Source organism: Homo sapiens, chromosome 18, assembly GCF_000001405.40.
Source record: "Homo sapiens chromosome 18, GRCh38.p14 Primary Assembly".
Taxonomy (NCBI): Eukaryota; Metazoa; Chordata; class Mammalia; order Primates; family Hominidae; genus Homo; species Homo sapiens.
Genome location: NC_000018.10, coordinates 76,122,687 through 76,146,611, shown reverse-complemented (window position 1 = coordinate 76,146,611; position 23,925 = coordinate 76,122,687). Strand labels below are relative to the sequence as shown.

The 23,925-nt window shown below is 43.4% G+C and overlaps 1 long non-coding RNA gene across 1 annotated transcript, besides 1 other annotated feature; it reads right to left on the bottom strand.

The window, feature by feature from the left end:
* Positions 1-1,356: 1,356 nt before the first annotated feature.
* On the bottom strand, positions 1,357-23,614 carry LOC339298 (uncharacterized). The gene is made up of 6 exons (NR_040034.1): positions 22,913-23,614; positions 22,609-22,668; positions 19,598-20,901; positions 13,538-13,678; positions 2,031-2,118; positions 1,357-1,855 (listed from the first exon to the last, which is right to left on the bottom strand). It is a non-coding gene; the product is annotated as an uncharacterized LOC339298 (long non-coding RNA).
* Positions 14,318-15,517: an enhancer, noted in NCBI's record as "BRD4-independent group 4 enhancer chr18:73843050-73844249 (GRCh37/hg19 assembly coordinates)". NCBI's record gives its function as "activates an origin of replication core promoter dependent on BRD2, P300/CBP, MED14 and CDK7 cofactors, and independent of BRD4, by STARR-seq in HCT116 cells {active_cell/tissue: HCT116}" and the evidence as "EXISTENCE:reporter gene assay evidence [ECO:0000049][PMID:35650434]".
* Positions 23,615-23,925: the final 311 nt, after the last annotated feature.

Genomic DNA, 23,925 nt, shown 5'->3' with positions numbered 1-23,925 from the left:
CCAGTGCTGGGCCTTTGAAGGGAATCACAGCAAGATCCTTGGGTGTGGGCAAGTGTTGTCCCCTAATGACAGGCATTACATTTGCACAGAAACATAAATCACATCTAGAGGCCGTTTAAAATAGGCTGCAGATGCAGAGGACATCGACTTCCTAAGGGGCACTTTGCAAAGGAGAAAGCAGAGGGACATGCCCCCAGAACCATACCAGTGTTGCCAGCAAGCGTGGAGGGTGGCGGCAGAGCCCAGGGCACACCTGCCTGGCACTGGGGCAGTCTTCATGTGCAAAGTGGTCCTGGAGATAGGAAATGCTTCTTCATGACTCCTGTAAATGGCTTAATTAGGATTTAACCGAGCGATTTCCCCTCCCTGTGTGGGATCTAGAACAGTGTTTACAAGGTGTGTCATATCCTCCCAGCCCTCACCCACATCTCCCCGTGCTCCCCCTCCAGCCCCACACCTGTCCTGCTTTTAACATCCTGACCAAATCAGCCCAAGGATTCTTCAGAGGCGAATGTATCCCGTGAAGCCTGCAATTACTGTCCCTGATTTCACTGTGAAAACTTTACAAGGCCGCACTGAAAAATCTTCCTTTACCCTCCCACTCCTTCTAACAGAACGAAAAAATCCATCAAATTAACACATCAATGAGTTGATTGTAATCTCCAGGGCTCAGTGTGGCACTCTCTAGCCTTCCAGACAGGAGGCCAGCATGATTTATCAATGCAAACCTAATAGCATCAATATGAATCTAACTAAAAATCAATATTTCATTACCAAATTGTTAGTGAGAATGAAGAAAAATTGCCGGAGTCAGAGCATTCTCTAGGGCAGGAGCATCCGGAGTTCAATGTGACAAGATGAGTGATGCGTGACTCCGGGCCTGGGAAGGACGCGGAGGACACGGGAGGACGGGCCACCGCGGCGCCCCAGGCGCGGGGAAGCGCTTCTCGTTGCCACTGCAGCTTCTTCTTTTCTCTTTTCTTTTTAGCCCCTTCTTCAAAGGCAAGGAGCAGTGCAAGAAAGAGAAAATAAAGAAGGCATGACCTGTAGCTGGTTCTGCAACAGGACCACCCTCGTGGGAAGGTGCAGGGTGGGCCCCTTGTCACCGGGGCCTCTTGGAGGACTGCACCCTGGAATCCAGACTGGGGCTTGTCTTTCTTAAAACTCCACTGGGTGCAGCACACTCGGTTTATGTTGAGCCATTTTGCAGAATATATAGGAAAAAGAAATAACGGTCTTGTAAATAAGTCTCCCAGGTTTGTGCTGAGAACGGCAACTGGTGATTGTATGGGAAGCGGAATCTCCCCTCCCTGACGTGGGGAAAGTCAAGGCTCTAACTCGGTCGGCAGATGTTTCTGTCCAAGCTTATGAGCAATTTATTGCCACAGTGGCTCCGTTTCTGTTACCACTCAAATATTGAAGGTCGTTTGTCGAAGAGGTGGGTTATCAAATGGGAAGGAGGAAACAGCGTTAAAACACGTTGAGGTGAGTAACACGGGACTCAGCGCCAGGCCGCACCCTGCGTGCTCCAGGGTCAGAACCGGTCCTTGAAAGTGAAGTGCTCACGTCCTCCCTGACAGCTGGCCATCTGCCCCGCACACAAGCCTGCATCTCAGGCGCCGGTGATGGGTTTGGAGTTAAATAACAGTAACGTCTCTGAGCCCTACCAGCAGGGAAGCCCCTGGTGAGTCCTTCCCTCACATGGGAGGAGGAGGCCACCTCGAGAGGCGTTGGCCTGGACCATCGCTGCCAGTTCCTGCAAGATGGAGATGTGATGCCCCACGCGTCTTTCGCTGTTCTTATTTTTTCTGCAACCACAACCTGATTCTGCTTCTGTAAAGCCTGGTATCTATAGCTGGATGGGTAGAGGATAAGAAAACATAATCGGGTTTATGATTCCAAACAAGACCTGGTTTCACAGATGACTTTGCATAGACTTTGTTTTAACAAATCAATGGTTTGAGTATGAGGCAGTTTAAAACCGTGATTGGAAGCTTGGGCACTGGAGTCAGACAGAGCTCGGTGAATACCTCAGGTTTGCCACATATCAGCAGTGTGATCATGGGTACTTTTCCATAAACTTCTGTAGATCTCAGTTTTTCTGTTCGTAGGGTCATTCTGAGGATTAAATTAGGTATACATGTAAAGGATTTAGCACCCTCACCAAAATACAGTAAATGTCAGGTAAATATTAGCATGGCTACTGCCGTTCTTTTTCTCTAGTGATGGATGATGGCAATAAAACACATTGATGTATTAGTTAAGTTCTTTAAATCTCCAAGAATTCTGTTGTAGGTTTTACCTGTTCTGTTCTATGATATGGTGATATCTGTAATGTTAATGCTTTTAGCTTTATTAGAATGTTACGTGTAGGTGTGCATAGTAAAATCATATGTAGTATATATTTGCCGCTGTGATACAGTCTGACACTGTAGTACGTTAAATCAGGTCACATTCCCAGGATGGTTTAAGAGTCTTATTGGGCACTTAGCTCGTCTTTGGAAGCCCCCGACAAAATGCCTCTTCTAGGATATGTTAAGACCAGTCCTCGTCCTTGACGGTCCTGGCTTGAGGTGCACCCGGAGCTTGGTCTAACACTATCTGGGAAGCTGGCTGTCTTTCTAACATTCCCTACTGGCTTGGTGACCTTATTTTTTAACCCTTTTCTTAAAAAGGGGTTAAAAGAAATTTTGATGTTGATTAGTTTTGTAATAATTCCTCAGTCTGATAAGCACCGAAATCACCAAAATCACCACCAGAGAAGTGGACACACATTGACGGAGAGAACCATGGAGGGTCCCTGCTGGCTGATGAGGGGCATCAGAGTGCTGGATTTGTTCAGTACATGTCTCAGACAACTGTGCAAGGTGAGAAGGGTCCATTCTGATGCCTCTCGTGGTGGTGGTTGGGGTCATCACTGTCGTGCTCGCACACCCAGCTGCACTGCACTAACCTGTTTCCAAGGTGTTTTTCTATCTCTCACTCCATTTGACCGCTGCATTGAGGCTTCAAGGAAGGCAGCCACTGCCATCTTCAGCTGGTTATTCCTGTAAAGGTCTTGGGGGGGCATGAGCATGTTCAGGGCTAAGGTATTCTTCCACTGAGCTTTCAACTCCCTTCTGCCACATTGGCCCTGCAGACCACACTGGCCAGAGCACTGCCTCCTCCACTGCACAGTTTCTTGGCTGTCGCTTTGTCGGGTGTCCCTGGCCAGTGCCAACAAGGACCTCTTCCTCCATCTGCCGTCTCCCTCCACTCACCTAAGAGGTAGGTGAGGCGTTTTGCCATTCCTCTTTCCGAATATTAAAGGATCTATGAATGCAGTGTGGGGATGTTGGGATGAAAGAACTTTTAAAAAATCTTCCTGGAGCTTGAATACCATTACAGAGGACTCAGCTGCACTGTAGGTGACAGGTAAGACCGCACCCAAGGCACCGTTTTCTGGACTGGCACTGCCAGACTTCATGCTTTGCGGCTGCCTTAGGGAGCAAGGATGTTTTTCCAGGCTGCTAAACATTTTCCAGAGAGCAGGAGCTACAGCCACTAAGTCAAGGGTGCACCAGAGCAGTCATTATTTTGCATTTCTCTTTTCTTGTAACACATTTAGTTTCCTTTGGCCTTCTCCACATCTACGGATAAGAGGGTTATAAAAGAGTACTTCCAGAGAGCAGAGGCTGAAAGAATCTGGAAGAGAACTTTCAATTCTGGCATCATCCATGCAGAAATGGCAGAAGCAGTGGAGTATACTCTGAAGTGAGGTGGACCTGACTCTCTATTGGCCTGTCGGAGCAAATGAGAGTCAACCTTGCCAAAAAATAGTGAGGAGTGAGGACAGGAATCTTGGTTTCTGTTGCCAATCAAGCTTACAGGCTAGGCTGACTTACTAGAAGAAACTGTCTTGCTATTTTTCACTTCTAGTCCTTCCTTCATTCCTGCTGGATTCCACCACAAACTCCTAGCCTTTCCCAAGGTTACTATGTATAGAAAACTTCAGTTTCCAGGGAAGGTGTCCCTTGAAGGCTCCTTCCAGCCCAAGCCTCCCCTCTCATTACTATCTACTTCTTTACTAGCTCACTAGTTTCCTTCTCTCTCTCACTGTAAATATCACCCTGATGATTCTCTCTCCATTCAGTTATTTGCAGTCTTGTTTGCCGGCTGTATGCCATTAGCACCTTAATATTCTAGTCTTTCTCGTGGAAGTCTAAAGTTATTACCCTTCCTCCTGGATCCTTCCTTTTTACCCTTTGATCCCCTAATGGGGATCTGGTCCTCTGATCTCTTCTCGACCCCACAGTCCTCGAGGAACCTTTTCTGTAGGATGGCTGTTTCATGTTCTTCGAACTCTACTCGATAACACAAGAGCTTCAAGTCACCTTCGTTTGGGCCCCAGAGACCAGGGAGTAGGCTCCCCTTTGCATTCTCAGGCTAAAAATGCCTGCAGGCCTGACATGTTGTGAGGCACTTCCAGCTCTAAATGCCCTTTAAAAATGATCTTCCGCTCCTCGAATTAGTGAACTTGTGCTCCTTGCTTATTTGACCACCAGCAGTTTTGTTTCCACACTGAGCAGATGTCGCTGGGCTTGGAAGCAAAGCTGGGATGTGCAGTTATTCCTAAATGCCTTGATACCAAGGACTTCCCTGGCTTTCAGTTAATTTTTCAGATCTTCCTGCCTGGCATGTTTCAAACCCAAGGTTGTCTTCTCGTCCCCATCCTCAGAATCGCGTCACCTTTTCTTGGTCTCTGCCCCTTTTCCTCACCACGAGCCATATCCCATCTGGCCCGCTGATGGCTGTACAAGCAAGCTGTCAAAAACGCTTCTTTTTTCTTCTCTTTCTCTTTTCCCTCATTCTTCCCCTTCTCATTCTTTCTTCTTCCTCTGAATTTAAAACAGTCTCTTATAGTTTCTCTTTATCATAATTTTAATATTTCTATTATTCCTCACTCAGCTGGTTATATGTGGTATGATAAATCCTCATAAGAAGAAAACACACAAGTAATATTGGCAGTGATCATATAACTCAGATTTTCTTACAGTGTCCCTTTAATTCTAAGTTTCATTGACCCCATTATACATCCTGGGCTGCATTGCTTCATCTAGAAAATATTTTTACCATCAGTACAGTTGACCTCCAAGGGCCCTGCAAACACCATATCTTTAAAGATTAACTCACAAAGAAGTGAAAAACAATCTTATTACATTGGCTGGTGCTTACTTAAAAGGGTCCTGTCCTTATGCCTAGATCTGCTTCCTTTTAATCTCTGCTATCTTTCTTCGCTTTCTCACATTTCAGATGCAGAATGCTGTGTTATTTTTGCCCAGCAATAAAGAAGAATCGTGATAGCTTTTCCAAGGTGCCTCCCCCATCCTTCGCCTATCTCAATGGATGGGATGTTTTCCAACTGCTCACATTGCTTGGTCTTGTAGTACAGCTTTGAATTTTGTTTCTCATTTTTTAAAAAAATACAGAGCATTGTGTATCATGTACATTACTATTAGCATAAAATTGACAAGGAATTCAAGGATACCATTTTTGCCAATTGTAAAAGGCCTAGCACATGTACAATTACATGGTTGTAGGTCTCTACCTATCATTAAAACCATTGTCCTTCAAATCAGGAAGCCTGAAATTTGGTATTACCTCTGCCTCTGACTTTGATTGACTTTTTTTCTATCTCAATGTTTTTCTATTTTTGATTTGCCTTTTAAAATTATTAAATGGTGATACTATACCTCTTTATAGGTAATAAGTAGAACTCTGTCTATAGGATACATTGGATCGAGCACAGTTGCCCACTTCTCTCTGTCCCCTCCCTAGAAGGAGCCCCATCCCTCAAGATTACCCTGTCTTGCCCCTCATACTTCCAAACATTTTTTCTTTCTCCAAGTACAAAGATCTCAGTTGGTGTATTAGTCCATTTTCACACTGCTGAGTAACACATACCTGATACTGGATAATATATAAAGAAAAAGAGGTTTAATGGACCCAACAGTTCTATGTGGCTGGGGAGACCTCAGAGTCATGGTGGAAGGTGAAAGGCACGTCTTACATGGCAGCAGACAAGAAAGAATGAGAGCCAAGCAAAAGGGGAAACCTCTTAAAAAACCGTCAGATCTCGTGAGAATTATCCACTACCACCAGAACAGTATGGGGGAAACCACCCCCATGATTCAATTATCTCCCACTCGGTCCCTCCCACAACACATGGGAATTATGGGAGCTACAAATCAAGATGAGATTTGGGTAGGGACACAGCCAAACCATATCAGCTGGTTATTAGGGAGAAAATTTTGTTCTAAACTAAATCATCCTAAGAAATACATGACCACCAATGCAGGCTAATATTCCTAGAAATATTTGTACTTTCAAATAGACATTTGAAAACAATCCAACAGAAATTACTTAATTTCCAATCATGGAATTAAAAAAAAAAGGCATTTTGATCAGGGGTCCTTTCTCAGGGTGTAGCTGTTCCCAGTCCCAGCTGTGGGTGGTATGGTCAGTCCCACTGTGCTGGGGGAGGGAGCTGGCTCCAATGTGGGCAGGTCACATGCCTAGACCAGCAGTACCCAGGATGCTGCCATCCAGAACCTGAGCTTCGGTCTCCACCCTATCCATGAAACATCAGAGGTGGCATCAAAGCCCCTTCAGACAGAGTGCTGAGGACCCTCAGGAGGGAAGTCCCACCCCTCTGTTGCAACCCTGGTTCACTGCAGAAATAATAAACCATCCTGGCTTCCTGCCCTTATGTCTGAAGCTGGAGGTCTCTACATGAAAGCTCATCTCAAAAGTTATACCTGAAGACGTCAGTGCAGGACTAACAAAAGGACTGTTCCAAAGGACTTTGATTATTATTACTGTTGGAAAAATCACCACGTAATTCTAGGAGCATGACGTCTGCTCATCTGCACAGCTGCTCAATAAAACAGATCCCTTCTAAGTGTATAGCTACCCTTGGTGGTAAAAAGATTGTTCACAGGTTTACTCTTTACAGCGAACAGCTCCTGTAGAAATTTCCCATTTCCATTTTGCTGTGCGATTGTCTCACAGGAGGGCTCCTGAACAACTTTATTTGTGGAAAATGACAGCACTCTTGTATGCCATCACTTTGTGCTTTTGGGGTTTTCATTTAATATAATTCAGGTTTGTTTTTTCTTAAGGTATTTTACATTTAAAGGTTTTTGTACAAATTTGGTAAAGAAAGCAAGAGGCTTAAGAAGGAGAGTGGTTCATGACATCACTGATGAAGGAGCAGAAGTTTCTAGAGGATGCCTATATGGCTAGGTCTTGATCTAACTCACAAGGGGGCTGAGAAAGATTGTCAGCCCCTGTGAGGCTTCATGTTTCCCTAGTCCCTTCCCTACGATGACTTCAACATGCCATGTCTGTTTTATTCTTGGTCGTAATAACATCCCTGTAAATGCCGGGGTATGGTGGTTACACAAAGAGCCCTGAGAAGGAGTAATCAGAGGGCACCTGCTACAGGGCTATGCAAAATGATTAGGCCTTTTAATCTGCAAAGGGTGTGGGAGAGAACATGCAGACATGAAATGGACACTAGGTCCCATTTAATTTATGTGATCTGGTAGGTGAAGATTCCCAAGTGATGCTTCCTTGGGGTGCCACCTACGTGTGCCCCAGCACGGGCTGACACACTGGGAGTGCTGGAGGCCTGGGCTGCACCCAGGACCTGCCTGATAGATGCTGAGCCACGTGCAAACCAGAGGTCCTGGTGCTACCAGAGAAGGAAGGAGAGTCCAATCCAAAGGCTAGGATTCCATCCTTATGGATGGAAACAGATTGTCACCAATCTTAATATTTGTCATTTTTGAAGTGTGGGATCTAAGATGCAGAGAGTGAGTTACTTGCCCAACATTTTGCAGTTAATTAAGAACAAAAGTGAGGACATAGGATCTTTCCACTCCCACTACAGTGAACCTGAGAAGAAGAGATTCTGAATCTGGGTGCCCTCTGGCCATCACTGTACCAACTTGCATATCAAGTCAGTTTGTTCTGTCGGGAAATAAATGAATAACTGTACTTGATGCAGTAGAAACAAAAGGAAAGAAACAAAACAAACCCCTTATAAATGAGGGAATGACTCTCTGTGACTGCCATACAAGGCATCTAAGCAACCAGTCAGGGTTCAATGAGTCCTTAAGATGCCGGTTGTCAGGACGCTGTGGAATTGCTTTCAGATGTGAGAATAAAATTTTTATATGTCATTAAAGGTACCCTAGGGATATCTGACATGAAGGAAATCATCCAACTTTCAAGACTAAGTATGTTTAAATTGATACATATGTGTTAGGGTTTGAGTTCTGTTGTAGAATTTGAAAATGACCTCTGCCACGCCTATAAAAGTTCATACCATGACTGTTCTTATGAGCCACTCAAAAGATCTAAGATTTCAGCATACCACCCTCTCTTGAATTTTAAGTTTTAAAAGGAAATTGGCTGTTGCAAAGACAATATAAGACATGGTTCTTTCTTCATGGTCAGTTATAGATCTGGGCGGTCAATAATCAATGTTCCACCTTAATTTTAAAACAATGTTAAAGCCATGGGGACATTGCCCTGAGTTTTATCTTTATGAGGAAAATTTAAAACGTGTGTTAGGCAAGAACAAAATTTTAAAATTAAAAATAGTCCACTTTTGTTGTTATTACTCTGCTCCAAACAGTCTGGAGACATGGTATAATTTAAGAAGACTGATTTCAAAAAGAATTCATGCACTTTCCACTTATATTTCTCAATTGATTTCAAAATTGCAAAGAAAGAAAATAAACACCTCCTGGTTGTCTTAATAAGACTACCAAGCTTCACCAGGTATCTATTTTTATTACCCTGAATACTTACTCCAGCAGCCTAAATTAGGAGCTGAGGTGCCAGCACAGGAGCATTCTCTGGGCTTGGGCTTGTTCTATACTGCTTTGAATATTACCAACAAGACCTCTATATGGATTAATCTAAGGGGAGAAAAAAATTAGCTAAAGCCATAAAGATAATTAATCTTTGTTTGAAATGATATTTTCCTTTCTGCTGCCATTTGTCATGTGGAAGCATTAACAAACCCTTTCACTGCAGTGGAAGCCAAGGGATGTGATTTGAAACTGCTTGAAAATATTCCTTCTCTTTTTATTTCCTCCGCGTCTCCCTCCTCCCAAGCCTCTATGAATTTGCTCCAGTTTCAAAGGCCATCACCCAGGGCTTCCAAATACGTGATTGAAATCCACTACTGCCCAAGACTAATCCCAGAGATGAGGGCCGGTCATCAGATAGCCCAGCAGCTGTGCTGGTGAGCAGAAGGGGCTAACTCCCACGCTTTTTAAAATTTGGGTGTTGCCCCTTTCAAATGGTTATTATGACGGTGTCTTTATCATCAATGAGGCTGTGTTGGTGAGGGTCTACAGATGGCGTTTCTTCCCTCCTCTCCCACCGAGCTTTCTTTTATTTTTTTATTTTCATATCCTGATGAGTTCTTTATATCTAGTGAGGGCTTGGCTTAATTAGATATTTAAATGATTTTGAGCAATGCTGTTTCTTTAACTCCTAACTGCGACAAACACATATGAAACATACTGTTGGCGGCATTTAATCAACAGCAGTCAATTTATCATTTTCACAGTTTTAGTGAGCGGTTATGAATCACTAAAATCACAGGTATTGTAGACGCAGCGTTGTGGCACTATCATTAACAAATACACCGTGCACAGAGGGATGACTTCGTAATTGAGTGGGACTAATAAGAATACATCATTTAGCTGCGTGTGACAAACTGTGCCTCCAAACACAAGCATGGAAAATTCACGTTTTGCTTAATAAATAAATTACACAGCCAATGTATTATACATAATTTGTGTCCTCGTGGATTTGAGTGATATATAATGCATGGTCCAAGTCATTTATTTATTAAGACTAACTATATATATTGTGGGAAGGGAATTTTAAACTCCAGGGTAAGGCCTGCCTGGCTAACTGCTGCAACTACTGAGTTTGATTGGGCAGTAAATGAGGTGTGTTTGGGGAGTTAAAAACTGAGGGTAGTGCATCAGTTTTTACTAGCTTCCATTTTGTCTGTTGATGGCAGAGAGGAGGAAACACAGTTGAAACTTTCACAGCATGGCAAGAGATATGCAATTTTCAGAGATGAGATAAATGAAAACATCTTTAAGAATATTTGAGGTAAAAAAATGTAAGGTTCATTATATCAAACACATTTTGGGAGTGCTAAATTGCAAGAGGCTTAGCAATTTGCTTTCAGGATGATTGATACAAACAGGGAACCGTGAGGTATTCTAACATGTGGCATATCCAGATGGAAAAAAAAGGTAGTAAGACAATGTCCTTAGGGTGTCCACATTCCTGCTTTGCATAATCTAGGAGCCAGGAATTGACTGTAATCATGAGGCCCAATAGTTGGGGGAGGGTCTTACAGCTTCAAAGTGTTTTCGGATGACCTCAGTATTTGGGGACAGGGACGGTGCATGTTTCTCCAACACGGACTATCTTTGTATTATAATTTATGAACGTAATCACAAATGCATGCAACTCTAAAAAAGGAACCATGAGATCTGACATAAATTTCAGCTCTTCTTCACTAAGCAACTGGAACCCCCCACCCCAATATATGAATTCACACAGACAAACAAATGCAGACAAAACCTGCCCCAAACCCCAAAACCCTTCATGGGAGATTTGCAAGAATTGTTGAAAGCTGCCCCTCTTCTTTGTCTCTCACTAGGCTTGTCCTGGGAAACCTTCTCTGGTATTGGAGCCCTCTTCTGTCAGAGCCCTAATTGTGGTTTCTGATTATTCCATGTCTCTAATCACACAAATCACCTGAAGATTACTGTAGGTATAGGTGACAGCAATTGGTTTCTATGAAGGCTTTTATCCTTCCATAGACTAAAGCCCTGTCTACAGGATTTATTTATTATTTGCATTTGCCTATCCTTCCTTCTCACTGAAGAGCTGTGCTGCACAGATGCTTGGTGATATAGTTTGGATGTTTGTCTCCTTCAAATCTCATGTTGAAATGTGATCCCCAGTGTTGAAGGTGGGGCCTGGTGGGAGCTGTCTGCATCATGAATGGCTTGTTGCCCTCCCCATGGTAATGAGTGAGTTCTCACTCTATTAGTTCACATGACAGCTGGTTGTTTAAAAAAGCCTGCTGTCTCTTGCTCCCTCTCTTGCCATATGACCTACCTGTTCCCTTTTCACCTTCCATCATGAGTAAAAGCTTCCTGAGGCCTTACCAGAAGCTGAACAAACCACTGGTGCCATGCTTGTACAGCCTACAGAACCGTGATCCAAATAAACCTCTTTTCTTTGTAAATTACCCAATCTTGGATAATCCTTTATAGCAACGCAAAATGGACTAACACACTTGCTGCCAAAATAAGTGGGTAGCCATGTTATGTGTTATTCCCATATGTGGAAGAGTCACTTTCTGATTGGGGCATAAGTGAAAATCAAGTCCCACATGATTCTCCAAGGCTTCCTGAGTAAAACCCTCACACTCTGCATGGGCAGCGGGGCCCAGGGTCTGCTTTGACTATCTCACCCAGCAGGACCACTATGATGGGACCCCATTTCTCTGCTTCCCTTGACAGAACAACTAGAAAAGCTTTCTGCACTCACTGTCCCCATGGCCTCCCCAACATGACTTCCTTGAATCCATTTACAGATTTGACCCCACTGCTCCACTGGGGTTGCTTTTATAAAGGTGCTTCCTGGCCTTGGTGTTGGTAAATCCAGTGGTTGGTTGTTGGACTTGCTCTTGCTCAACTGTTGGCTGCTTTGATGTGGTTGATGACATCCTTCTCTTTGTACCAACTTTTTCACTTGACTTCTGAGACATCACTTCCTCCTGGTTCTCTTTCTACCTCAATTATTTTCACTTCCCTCTACCGAATTCTCCTCATTTTCCTGCCCCAGGATGTAGGAACACCCCAGGGCTTTGTTGTAGGACCTCTGTGTACATGTATTCCTCTTATGTAGGCCTGTATTCTATTGCTGTAACTATAATTTACAGACGATATCTTCCAGTCTATCTAGTCCAGATTTGTCTATCCAATGACCTACTTGGCCTGTGCACCTCAATGCTTAATTTGAACTTCAAATTTAATGTGTCCAAAGCTAAATCATCCTGCAAAAATCTGCTTTCTTCCCATTTTTACCCATCTCAATAAATAGGAAGTAAATTTTTTCTAATTTTTAGGACTCAAGCCTCAAAATTACCCTCAGTTCATTTCTTTATCTCATTCTTCACATCCAAATCTTTGAGAAATCCTATGGACTCTGCTTCAAATATATCTTTACAATCTAATCACTTCCTAGAGGAGGGACCTTCAGAATGGTGGAGTAAGGACTTCCATAAATCCATTTCTCCATAAAAGCAATGACAATACAGGCAAAATTATCAACGTCAGCCTCTTTTCAACAACATCCAGAACTATGGAAACTGACCAAAGTTTACAACAACTTGAAAAGCATTTACTCATGAAAAATGACTGAACATTGATAAGAACAGCAGAGCTGTGTTTTAACTTGGCCTACTCCCCTCCTTCTGTCCTCAGTCCTACAGTATCCTTGAAAACCAGGAATCTCAAAATCATAGCAATCACAAAATCCAACAGCCTCACAGCTACTGGGCAGGGCAGAGTGGATTTGGAGCACCTCAAAAAGGTCCATCCCCAAGGCACTGTCCCCATTGGATCCATCTTACAGCTCCCTGGGAAAAGCCCTATTCACAGGGCATTGTTGTTATTTGACCTGACTCAGAGTTCCGTGAGAAAAGTCCCATCTCCAGAGCATTTGTTAAAAATAACGAGCTGCACTAAAAAAAATTCTGGGGATCAAGATGTCCACAGAGGGCTTTGAAGGGCTGTGCTTTTCTTTCGGAAGGTCTTCAGGCTTTTTGCATGTGCAGGGCTATGGCCAGGCTGGGACAGACCTGAAGGAATCCACAACCACTCACCTTTGGCTGACCTTGAGACCGTGCACAAGCAGGAAATAAAGGCTAAGGGAGACTTGGGAATGGTCTGGGCACTGAAGATGTGCTTGACACACACAATGGTATTAAAGGGCTCCTGGAAGACTTGCTGGCTAAGACATCTCAGGAAAACTCTGACCAGTCATTAGCTGAATGCTAAGCTAATGAAGCAGAGACTTCAGTAGTCCCATATAACAGGGAATGCAGACTTTATGGAATTAACAAAACAAAACAAAACAAAACAAAACACAGCCACAATAAAAAACCCCGGGGAGGGGACAGGATCAGAGCTCCAGAGTTGCCTCATTCTATTATCTAAAATGTCCAGTTTTCAAAGAAATACTATGGGATGCGCAAAGAAACAGGAATGTGTGGCCCATATATGGGGAAAAAAAGCAACCACTAGAAAATATCCCTGAGGGTGCCCAGATGTTGGACTTATCACAGGCTTTAAATCAGTGATCACACATATGTTGAAAGAATGAAACTCGAATCACTTCCCATCATCTCTGCTGATCCTCCTCTAGTGCATCATCTGACCTGGCCCAGGCAACATCTTCCTATCCGGTTCCCTGGATCACAGCTGCTCCTTACGGTCTGTTCTTTGTGCTTGAGCATAAGAAGTCCTCTAACCACGGCAGTCAGGTCACGGCATCACTTTCATTTGCTTGCATTGCGCTCCTGTTAAAAATCCGGAGTTCTTAGCAGAGCACAAGTGCCCCTAATGATATGGTCCCAGCCACTTCCTTGACCTCCATCCCATGACTCTCCCGCTTCCTCACTGCTCCTCGGGCACACCAGCCTCCTGTGCTTCCTGGCGACTTCAGGCCTCAGGTCAATTATCACCTTTTCAAAATGACTTTTCTGATTTTTTGTTTCATGCCTTCCCTTCTCTAGAATATAGGCTCAATGAGATGAGGTAAGTTGCCTCTTATCCCATTGCGGTTACATACCTGGTTTAGAGTAGGTAATAATATGAGTTGAATAAATGAATACAGGCTGACACAGCTTAATGGTTATACTAGGTGCGTAATTTTATTAGGAGTGTCATTTACAAGGACTTTGAAGTCATCCTGTGGTGCTCATTGGTGCTCAGTGGCAGAAAACTGTAAAATGCCTCTCCTTTGCCACTTGTAAAACATCCAAATCAATAATTTTAAAATTTAAAATTAAAAATTTTAAAAATGCAATAGGCTGGCTGGGCGTGGTGGCTCATGCCTGTAATCTCAGCACTTTGGGAGGCCAAGGTGGGTGGATCACGTGGTCAGGAGTTCAAGACCAGCCTGACCAACATGGTGAAACCCCGTCTCTACTAAAAATACAAAAATTAGCTGGGCATGGTGGTTTGTGCCTGTAGTCCCAGCTACTCAGGAAGCTGAGGCAGGAGAATCACTTGAACCCAGGTAGCAGAGGTTGTAGTGAGCTGAGATCATGCCACTTCACTCTAGCCTGGGTGACAGGGCAAGACTCCGTCTCAAAAAAAAAAAAAAAAAAAAAAAAAAAAGCCATAGTCTGAAGTGCCCAGTATTTACATAATAGCAATTTGATTGCAGTTAATTCCTTAGAAAACCACTTCTACATGTTCTGACTTGTCTCTTCTGGCATTTGAGAAACACTATCTCCCAGGTTTGATTTAGGCAACTTAAGATTTTCCAACCACAATGACTTGCAGAGATGAAGGGGAAGAGCCTCAGATGTCTGGTATGGGTGGGGCTGATGATGTCATCACTGGTAGGTCCTCCTTGTCCAGGCCCAGGGTGCAAGCTATGCCAAACCTAGGGGCTCCATGCACAACCCTGCAACCGAAAGTGAAAGATCTGGTTGGCATAGACTTTAGATATGAGAAAGAAAATAAGGTTCTGGAATGAAGTAGCAAACATTTCCCCTTCTGTTGCTTGTGGTAGGAGTTACATTATTAAGGTAGAAGTGTGGAATTCAGAGAAGACTCAAGTTTTCAACCAATGTGCATTCAACAAACATTTTTTGTAGCAGTGACTATGTGCCTTCTAGGCACTGTGTTTTGTACTGGACATACAATGCTGAAGCCTTCACCATCTTGGGTTGTACAGCATGGTAGAGGATAGAGATACCAGCCAAATAATTGTAGAGATAAATATATCATCATAATTTTGATAAACTATAAAAAATACAGAGGACTAAGAAAGTGTAACAGAGATTGTCATTTTTATCTATGTGAGAGGTGAAGTACCTCCGTGAGGGAGTGATAATTATCCTGGACTTGAAGGGTGGGGAGATCACTCCGATGAGAAATGGGACAAGTGTCTCCATCAGAGGGAAGAGTGGAAACAAACACTCCAGGGCAGGGTGGAGTCCGGCTCCGTGTGGAAATGGAAAGAAGGTCAGCGTGATTGTAGTTTCACAAAAGAGAAGTAAAGCGGGGGTGGTGAGATGAGGCTGGAGAGGCAGGCAGGGGCCGGAGCGAGCAGAGCCTTGGGGGCCGTGCTGAGGATCTTGGATTTTAGCCTAAGAGTAATGCAAAACGGCCGAATGATTCAAACGAGGGATCTGCGTCATCCAATTTGTGTTTTCCCAAGAACACACTGCTCTGCAGAGATCAGATTGGGTGGAGGCAAGAATAAATGTGGGGAATCCCTCGGCGAGCTGTGGGACAGGTCCTGGCAAGATTCACGGAGGCTTGGATGGTGGCCACGGCAATGGAGAAAGGGCAATCTAGTTTCTCATAGTTCCAGAGGCCAGAAGTCCAAAGTCAAGTTGTGGGCAGGGCCTGCTCCTTCCAAGGCCTCTCGGAGACTTCTCCTTTCCCCGCCTCTCTCACAGGTCCCTGTGGCTGCAGGTGCTCCTGGCTGGTGGCTGCGTCCCTCCACGCTCTGCCTCCATCGTCCCATGGTTCTTCCTCGTGTGGATCAGGATGTCCTCTCCTCTTCTTACAAGGACACCAGTCCTTGAATTTAGGGCCTGATCCTAATCGCATCTGCAAGGATCCAATTTTCAGATAAGATCGTGTTCTGAGGTTCTAGGTGAAGGTACGTTTTGAGGGGCCCTATTCAACCCAGGACAGAGGGTGAGGGCAGTTTCCGGGATAACCACCAGGTTTCTGTGTAGACGGCAGTGCCTGGAAGTATCAGAGTGGAGACACCTGAAGCAGGTCTGAGGCAAGAGGTCGAGAGCTTTGAGTTAGTCACGTCAGGTGAAAGGCACTGGGAGGCATCTGAGAGGAGCTTCCAGGCTTCCGTTGGATGTGCCGATCCGAGAGGTTCAGATTGAAAATGAAATTTTGGAGAGGTGATATAAAGACGGTTTTGATAGCCACAGGACTGGATGAGTTGACTGAGGAAAGAAAATACACTAGTCTCAGGATTTGTAACATCTTTAAGAAAGTTTGCTCTTTGGAGGAGAATCACAGCCCGGCCCAGCATGTTCCCACGCTTTCCTGAGTGTCGGTAAGCCGATACAAGTTTTCAAGCGAACTATCTTTCTAAACTTCCTTGGGGTCTGAGAGGTCACAGTGACTCCTGATTCTGTTGCAAGGTGCCTGGCTTATCAGAAATACAAACCTGCATGGGTTCCGGAAGGTGGCACAGTCTAGGGCCCTAAGGGTGTAGGCTGGGCTTGGAATTCTCTATAGGGTGCTGGGCTCTAGCCAGCGTGTGGTAAACTGGGCCCACGCAGAGGGAGAGGAGCAGCAGACCTGGCTGGGGCCCTAAAAATCTGAGGCCCAGTCATGGGTCAGCTCAGGTTTTCTGAATTTTGGCCACTGACTTACCATTACCAGCCTTGGGACCTCATCTGTGGGATGAAATGGTACCAGTGAATCCTAATTCATGGGGTTGTTTTATTTATTTATTTAGAGACAGCTTCTCACTCCATCTCCCAGGCTGGAGTGCAGTGGCGTGATGACGGCTCACCACAGCCTCGACCTCACAGGCTCAAATGATCCTCCTGCCTCAGCCTCCTGAGTAGCTGGGTCTACAGGCATGCACCACCATGCCCAGCTAATTGTTTGTATTTTTTGTAGAGATAGAGTATGTTGCCCAGGCTGATTTCGAGCTCCTGCGCTCAAGCAATCCTCTCCTCTCGGCATCCCAAAGTGTTGGGATGACAGGCATGAGCTCCCACACCTGGCCTCACAGGTTTGCTATAGGAATAAATGGGATAGTACATCTGAGGGCCTCATCACAGGTCCGGGGCACAGAAGGAGCCACTAAGAAGCCTTGATAAGGAAAGTGAGAGGCAAAACATGAGGCCAAATGTTTTTCAGTCAAACTGCACTTTTCTGTTAAAATGGAAGGAACAAAGCCTCATATTTTTGCAGGCCATGGCAATCTGACTAGGTACGAGGAAGGGCTGGTTGATATGAGATTTCCATGGTAAGAGATGGGCCAGAGACACATGGAGGTGCCTCCTTCATTGCCATGCCATGCCATGCCCACAGAGGGGTGGACAGATTCCAGAGAAAAGTTGTGGGTTGAAAATGTGTCCTTTTGTAGGAGAAGAATTAAATATCATGATTTCTAAGCTTTTAAAATACATTAGGATTATGGGCCTATTTTATTCAAAATTCCCCTGACACAAGGTCGCAAATGTGATGCCTCAGCTTGGATTTCCTCTGGAGCAACATACAGAGGGGATTGTTAGGACTTATCACACTGTGCTCCCCGCAGACATACTGAAGCCCAAGGGGCTGTGTACACGGGAACTTGTATGGAAAAGCAGCCAGTCACGGGGCTCAAGACCACAGAACAGCAGCCTGCATGGCCCTAAAATAGGCTCTACTAACCTTCACAAATGAGGTGGGGGCAATCCCAAGAAATCACAGATTTTAAGTGACATCCCATGAATGACCCACGTCATCCCTTCTCCTCAATTATGGACAGCCTGTGAGCACCAAAGGCACCGTGGGTATGTGAAGGTCAAAACAGAAGTAAAAAGCAACAAGGAAAGCTATTCAGCAGGAAAATGCCCTTGAAACGATGTAGGTTGATTCCCTTGCAACTCAGTCATTAACCATCTAAAGGCCCAAGCAGGAATTTTGGATCTTCCTTCTTTTCTTTTCTTTTTCTTTTTTTTTCTTCTGTCATTGCTGATCCCCTTTTGCTAAGCCCATGCTAACAGGACAGAAAGATAAAGAGCGAACACAAACACGTCTTGGCCCCTGCGGCCACTGAGATAAATTTAATAATTTAAATTGACCTAGGGCCTATGTATGGAATAATCCTCCACTTAGATGACCCGGTGATTCCTAACTCATTTTCAAGTCCGTATCCAGCCGTGTGAAAGTGTTAATGTCTCCCTCCATCACACTGTGCTGGGTACACTTATCTTTTTCATACCCAATAACCAGAGACAATGATTATATTATTCATAAGATATTTTTACCTGAAGAGATAAGACATACAGCTTTAGTTATTATTTCCTAATCTTTTTTTTTAAACTGCCACCTTCTTATATAGCCCTAGGAATAACCTTAATTTTTATATTAAAATTGTCTTTTCCACATTTTTAGTTGTTTCTGATTTTTTAAAAATTAATATTACAGAATAAACAGTGGGAATTTAAAAAGGAGAGCCTGTATCCCATTTGTAAAGAAACAAGCAAGCACAGTGGGAGTCATAAGACAAATGCTTCTGGTCCATGCCCTCTGCTGACCTCTTTTGGTTGCAAATCCCTCTGGAGAAGGATGGATGCCATAGACCCTGTCCTCAGACAGTGGGCAGGTTCAAACACACCTGAATTCTGTGCTGAATTTGGTGGATCGAAAGCCTTCCTGGAATCTGACTTGTGTTATCTTCCTTGCAGTATGACTCCTTCCTATCATGATAGATGTGACGTCCAATTGTTTTAGGGCAAAATAAGTGGCAGATATCCTCTAATATGTTTCTCTGCTAATTCGAATGGAGGTTGCCATGATGAAAGTCCTATTGCCCAAGAATTTCCTTCAGGTTCCTCCTGAAGACCTTCAAGTCGGCCAAACAAAGTGCATGCCTTAGACAAACATCACATGTTCTCACTTGTTTGTGGGATCTAAAAATCAAAACAATTGAACTCACGGACATAGAGAATAGAAGGATGGTTACCAGAGGCTGGGAAGGGTAGTGGGTGCATGGTTGGGGGAGGTGGGGATGGTTAATGAGTACAAAAAAAATAAAGAATAAATAAAACCTACTATTTGATAGCACAACAGCCTGGCTATAGTGAATAATAACTTAATTGTACATTTTAAAATAACTTAAACAATGTAATTGGATTGTTTGTAACTCAAAGGATAAATGCTTGAGGGGACAGATACCTCATTGGCCATGAAGGGATTATTATGCACTGCAAGCCTGAATCAAAACATTTCATGTACCCCATAAATATATACATCTACTGTGTACCCACAAAGATTAAAATAAAAAATTTTAAAGTGCATGTGTTTTCTGAAGCTTGAATACAATTGGACTATTAGAATTTTCCTAAATTCTAGAAATCTCTAGAAATTCTAGAATCTCTCTCTGTGGAGTAAGAGATTAGCACTTCTGAAAGAAGAGTTAGATGTTAATAGGTTATGTTATGCTTCCTTCATTAACGGTTTAGAATGAGGTAATTTCCCTGATAGAATGGAGAAGTCAAAATACTCGCGTTTGTACCCATCTGCTTCACTTGACCTTGACTGAGTCTTGTTACCCCTTACAGGGTCTTCATTATACAAAAGCGGGATGCACTGGTTTTTCTGTGCTCCTTTCTAGTTGTGTTACCACTTCATGAAATTCTGTCCTGATGTTTGTTCCCTTAAAGAAACCTTTGATTCACTTGGCTCTTATTCTTGTCCACCAGGTCCCTTCAGTCTCCTGAATCACGAGGCCTGTTTCTGTAGTTTTGTGGAAATAATGGAAGCCTTTGTAAACTCTTCCTCATATTGGGGTGCAAATATGGTCACCTGTTCTTATTTTAAACAATTGCCCAAGGACCTCACATGCCTCTTTAGCAGAAAGACTCACCGTATCCAAAATCCTCAGGGCATTGGACAGTCCAAAGGCAATGCCTCTGCTTCAGCCCCTGAGCAGCCACAGGATGGAGCTCTGAGTTCTTCCTGCCACACTGAGTCCCCTAGGGTGCTTGATCCTCTCCTGCCAAGCTGAGGCTGATCCCAGCTGCAGAATGCCTCTTGTCCCCAACCCTGTAAGAACCGTGTTTCTCAGAGGAAGGACTATCCTCTGCTGTCAGTGCTCTCTTCGCTCATGCATGGGGCTTGATGCTGCAGATCTCCGGGCTTCACGGTCCGTGTTGCCATACATGGCCACATTTCAGGCCTCTGGCTGGGCCTGGGCACAAGGCAGCCAGGAGAGGAGGGCATGTGTGTGCCACACCATGGGCCAGGAGGCCATTTTTTGCCCTCCCCTAGGACCCAGGACATGGACTGGACATTTGTTTTGCTGCCAAACTTTTCAAACGCAGTGCCTGAATTCACATTTTTTTTTTTAAATAGAAAATGAGACACATCTATGGAGAGGAGACTACGACCTTCATTCCTTCCAGGGGAGGCTGACTGCATCATTCTGGGTGGTGAGCTTGGTGTTACTACAATAATTTAACATCGAAGAGAAGCTCTCCAAGTGATTCAAGGGCATTCACACCTGTTCTTCCGAGATGGGTATTCCAAGGTGATTTTCTTACACCTCCCGTGTAGATAACTGTCTTCGAACTTTTGGGCACCTTCTTCCATAAGTATTTTGACGCATTGGTCTTTGACAATGCACTGTAGCATCCTTTGAGGATAGGGACTGTCTCCACTCTGTGGCCCAGAAACCTCATTAGAAAAGCTTGGAGTCAGCTGGGCTCAGTGGCTCATCCTGTAATCCCAGCACTTTGGGAGGCTAAGGCAGGTGGATTTCTTGAGCTCACAAGTTTGAGACCAGCCTGGGCAACATGGCGAAAACCCATCTCTACAAAAAAATACAAAAATTAGCTAAGCATGGTGGCACTTGCCTGTAATCCCAGCTACTTAGGAGGCTGAGGTTGGGGGATGGCTTGAGCCTGGGAGGTGGAGGTTACAGTGGGCTATGATCACACCACTACACTCCATCCTGGATGATATAGCCAGACGTTGTCAAAAAAAAAAAAAATCCTGAAGTCCCATGTCCTGTGAGCACACAGCAACCAACATCTTTGTGACCGACAGAATGACATTGTGCCATCTGTCTGAGTGAGAATTTGTTGAGTATTTATGCCCTACATTTACTGTGAGAATTAAAGAGGAAAAATGCATGTAATTCTTAGCAGAGTACTTGACATGTTTTCAGCGTTTAATAAAAATTAGCTATTATTCTTGTTGGCTATTAATTTTTATTGTAAAAGGCAACATTTTAGTTCTTGGAGAAATAAAATAAGGCATTTAATACATTCACATTAGGAAGGAGTTAGTTCTATCATGGTTAGTTGTGGTTTTGGAACAATTTGATCTCTTTACCAATAATTGTACATTTGAATGTTGAAACTATTAAAGTACAAAGATTCCAATTGGACTGGGCTGATAGATTTCTCTATCTGCTTAGAATATTTCTTTTTTTTTTTTTTTTTACCATATTAGGATGAGAGAACATGAAATAAATAATGAATTAGCAAATGACATTTTCAAGGAAAACCAACTGAAAACTTAGCAAGCTTAATTTCAGTGGATATAGGTGCAAGTTAGCTCACCTGTACAAAGAAAACAAACAAAACATAAAATGTGAAATGATTATGCTGCTTATGTGATTTGGAAAAATAACTCATAGCTGCGGTATTCTAAAAATTCAAATTTGACTTTAAAGATTGTTAAGAGGGAAGGAAGATGTGACACTAATATTTACATATTAAGTTTTGATGGAGACCATAAAAGAAACTCAGCATCAAACTTAAATGCTCATATAAAAGTCAGGCATGGTTAGATCATCTCCTTACAATCACACAGGGGCTCTAACTTGCCATCGTAAACAAAAAGGAAAACTGGGACCTATGATCTTGTCCCCAGTCGCTGATAAGCAACTTTACGTTGTCTCTTCGGATATGGGTGAACATTTAGTTGGGGAAAATGCAGAGACTGCAGGTATTACAGGGAGCTGTAATGGCGAACTTACTTTGAAGGTTTTTCATTGCTTTTTGCTTTAGGGAATGGAAGAAAGAATTTGTTGTGGTTGATGATGTTTCAGTTCAAGGATTAGCATGTACGATACTGAGTTCTATCCTACCTATAAAACCGTTAATTTTAAACTATCAAGGGGATGCACAAAAGATAAAAATGGAATATATAGGAGCTGAAAGGTAATATTGTGGAAATTTTTTTCTGTTTCTTCATCATACAAAATAGGGATTGTGATTTTATAACTAAAAAAAAATCAGTGCTATTTTCATCAGATGCTTATCAAAGGAGAAAAGTTCTTAGTTTTATCCAAAGCCAACTTTCCCCATTGTGAGGTCTCCCATCATTTTCCCCCAGGAGCTATAAATTTATATCTCATCATTGGTCATATTATGCCCTATATCTCTATTTATTATTAGTGCATACTTTAGAGTGCTGGTGAGTATTGGCACATTTTATTATGCTGATAAACAATGTTGGACTGCTAGGTAAAATGTGTTGTCAACAGTGATTTCTCTCTTCTCGTTCATACCTTTTTCATTTTATTCTGGGCTTCTAGAGATGAGACTGAAGGATGGGTCTGATTCTTCTTCTGTGTTTTTCAAGTTGATGAGTTAGGAATAGAATGGAAGAGATTATTCATTATGCAGAAATACACAAAAATATTACAAAACACATTTCTCTTCAAATATTTAGAAAGCACATTAAATAGTCATTGACTCAAAGTAAGAAAATATTCTTCTCTAAAGACATAGAATTTGGACCCTTGGACTTTCAGAAGCAACAATTCCACAGTGAGTTCAACTGATCAGGGGTATAGTCCCCCAGGCACTTACCTAGGGTCCAGGAGACTGAGGGTCAGCAGAACCAGAAAAGCTCAGGTACTTTAGACGTCAATCACCCACAAAGGTTTAAGGCTCCCTCCACAGTCCAGTGAATTTCACAACCCTGAAGCAACTCGTGGGGGGAAATACAATGTAGCCACGTGAAGTTTCTGAATGTCCAGTTGAAGGGAATACTTAGTATCTTCAAGTTTTTAAATTAAACTGTTGGGTTTGCCTTGGTTCAGGTTTACCGTTTTCATTACATTTGTTGTACATGGTCAGATGATTGCCAAAGCATAATATGGCTTTCTAGGTTTTAGGGATAGTTTTCTGTTAGGATATTTGTAACGCTAGTCAATTTAGAGGCAGTCTCAACTTGAGAGGCAAAAGTGTGATACAATGTTATTTATGTATTTTAATGGCTTTTGCTCAAAGCATGACCTCGAATCTATCCTTCTAGCTGTGTAGGCTCCTGTAACACATCTCAGCCCAGTTTCATCATTTTCAGCCTCTTTAAGTTATGAAAACAATCTCATTTTGCTTTTTTGCTTCTCCTGCCTTTCTCAAAGTTCCTGCAAGTTAGATTTGCTTCTCGAGAAGTTTTGAGATGAGCAGGGCATGTGCGGGCCCCTCATCTCTCTCTCTCTCTCTCTCTCTCTCTCTGTCTTGTTTTCACCCCTCCAGTGTTGTATCAGTTGAATTCTGTTCTTCCAAGAGAGAAGTTGATGTCCTAACCCCTGTACCTGTGCATGTGACCTTATTTGGAAATAGAGTCTTTGTAGATGTAATAAAGCGAAGATGCGGTCGGTCGTTCGAGTGGACTCTAACACAATGTAGCCCATGTCCTCAGTAGAAGAGGAACATTTGGGTACAGACACACACAGGAAGGAGACAGCCATGTGGAGATGGAGGCAGGGATTGGAGTTACATCCTGAAAGCCAAGGAGCAGCAAAGACTGCTGGCGACACTGGATGTTCAGAGAAAGGCAGGGGGCAGCTTCTCTCCTCCAGCCTTCGAGGGAGCCG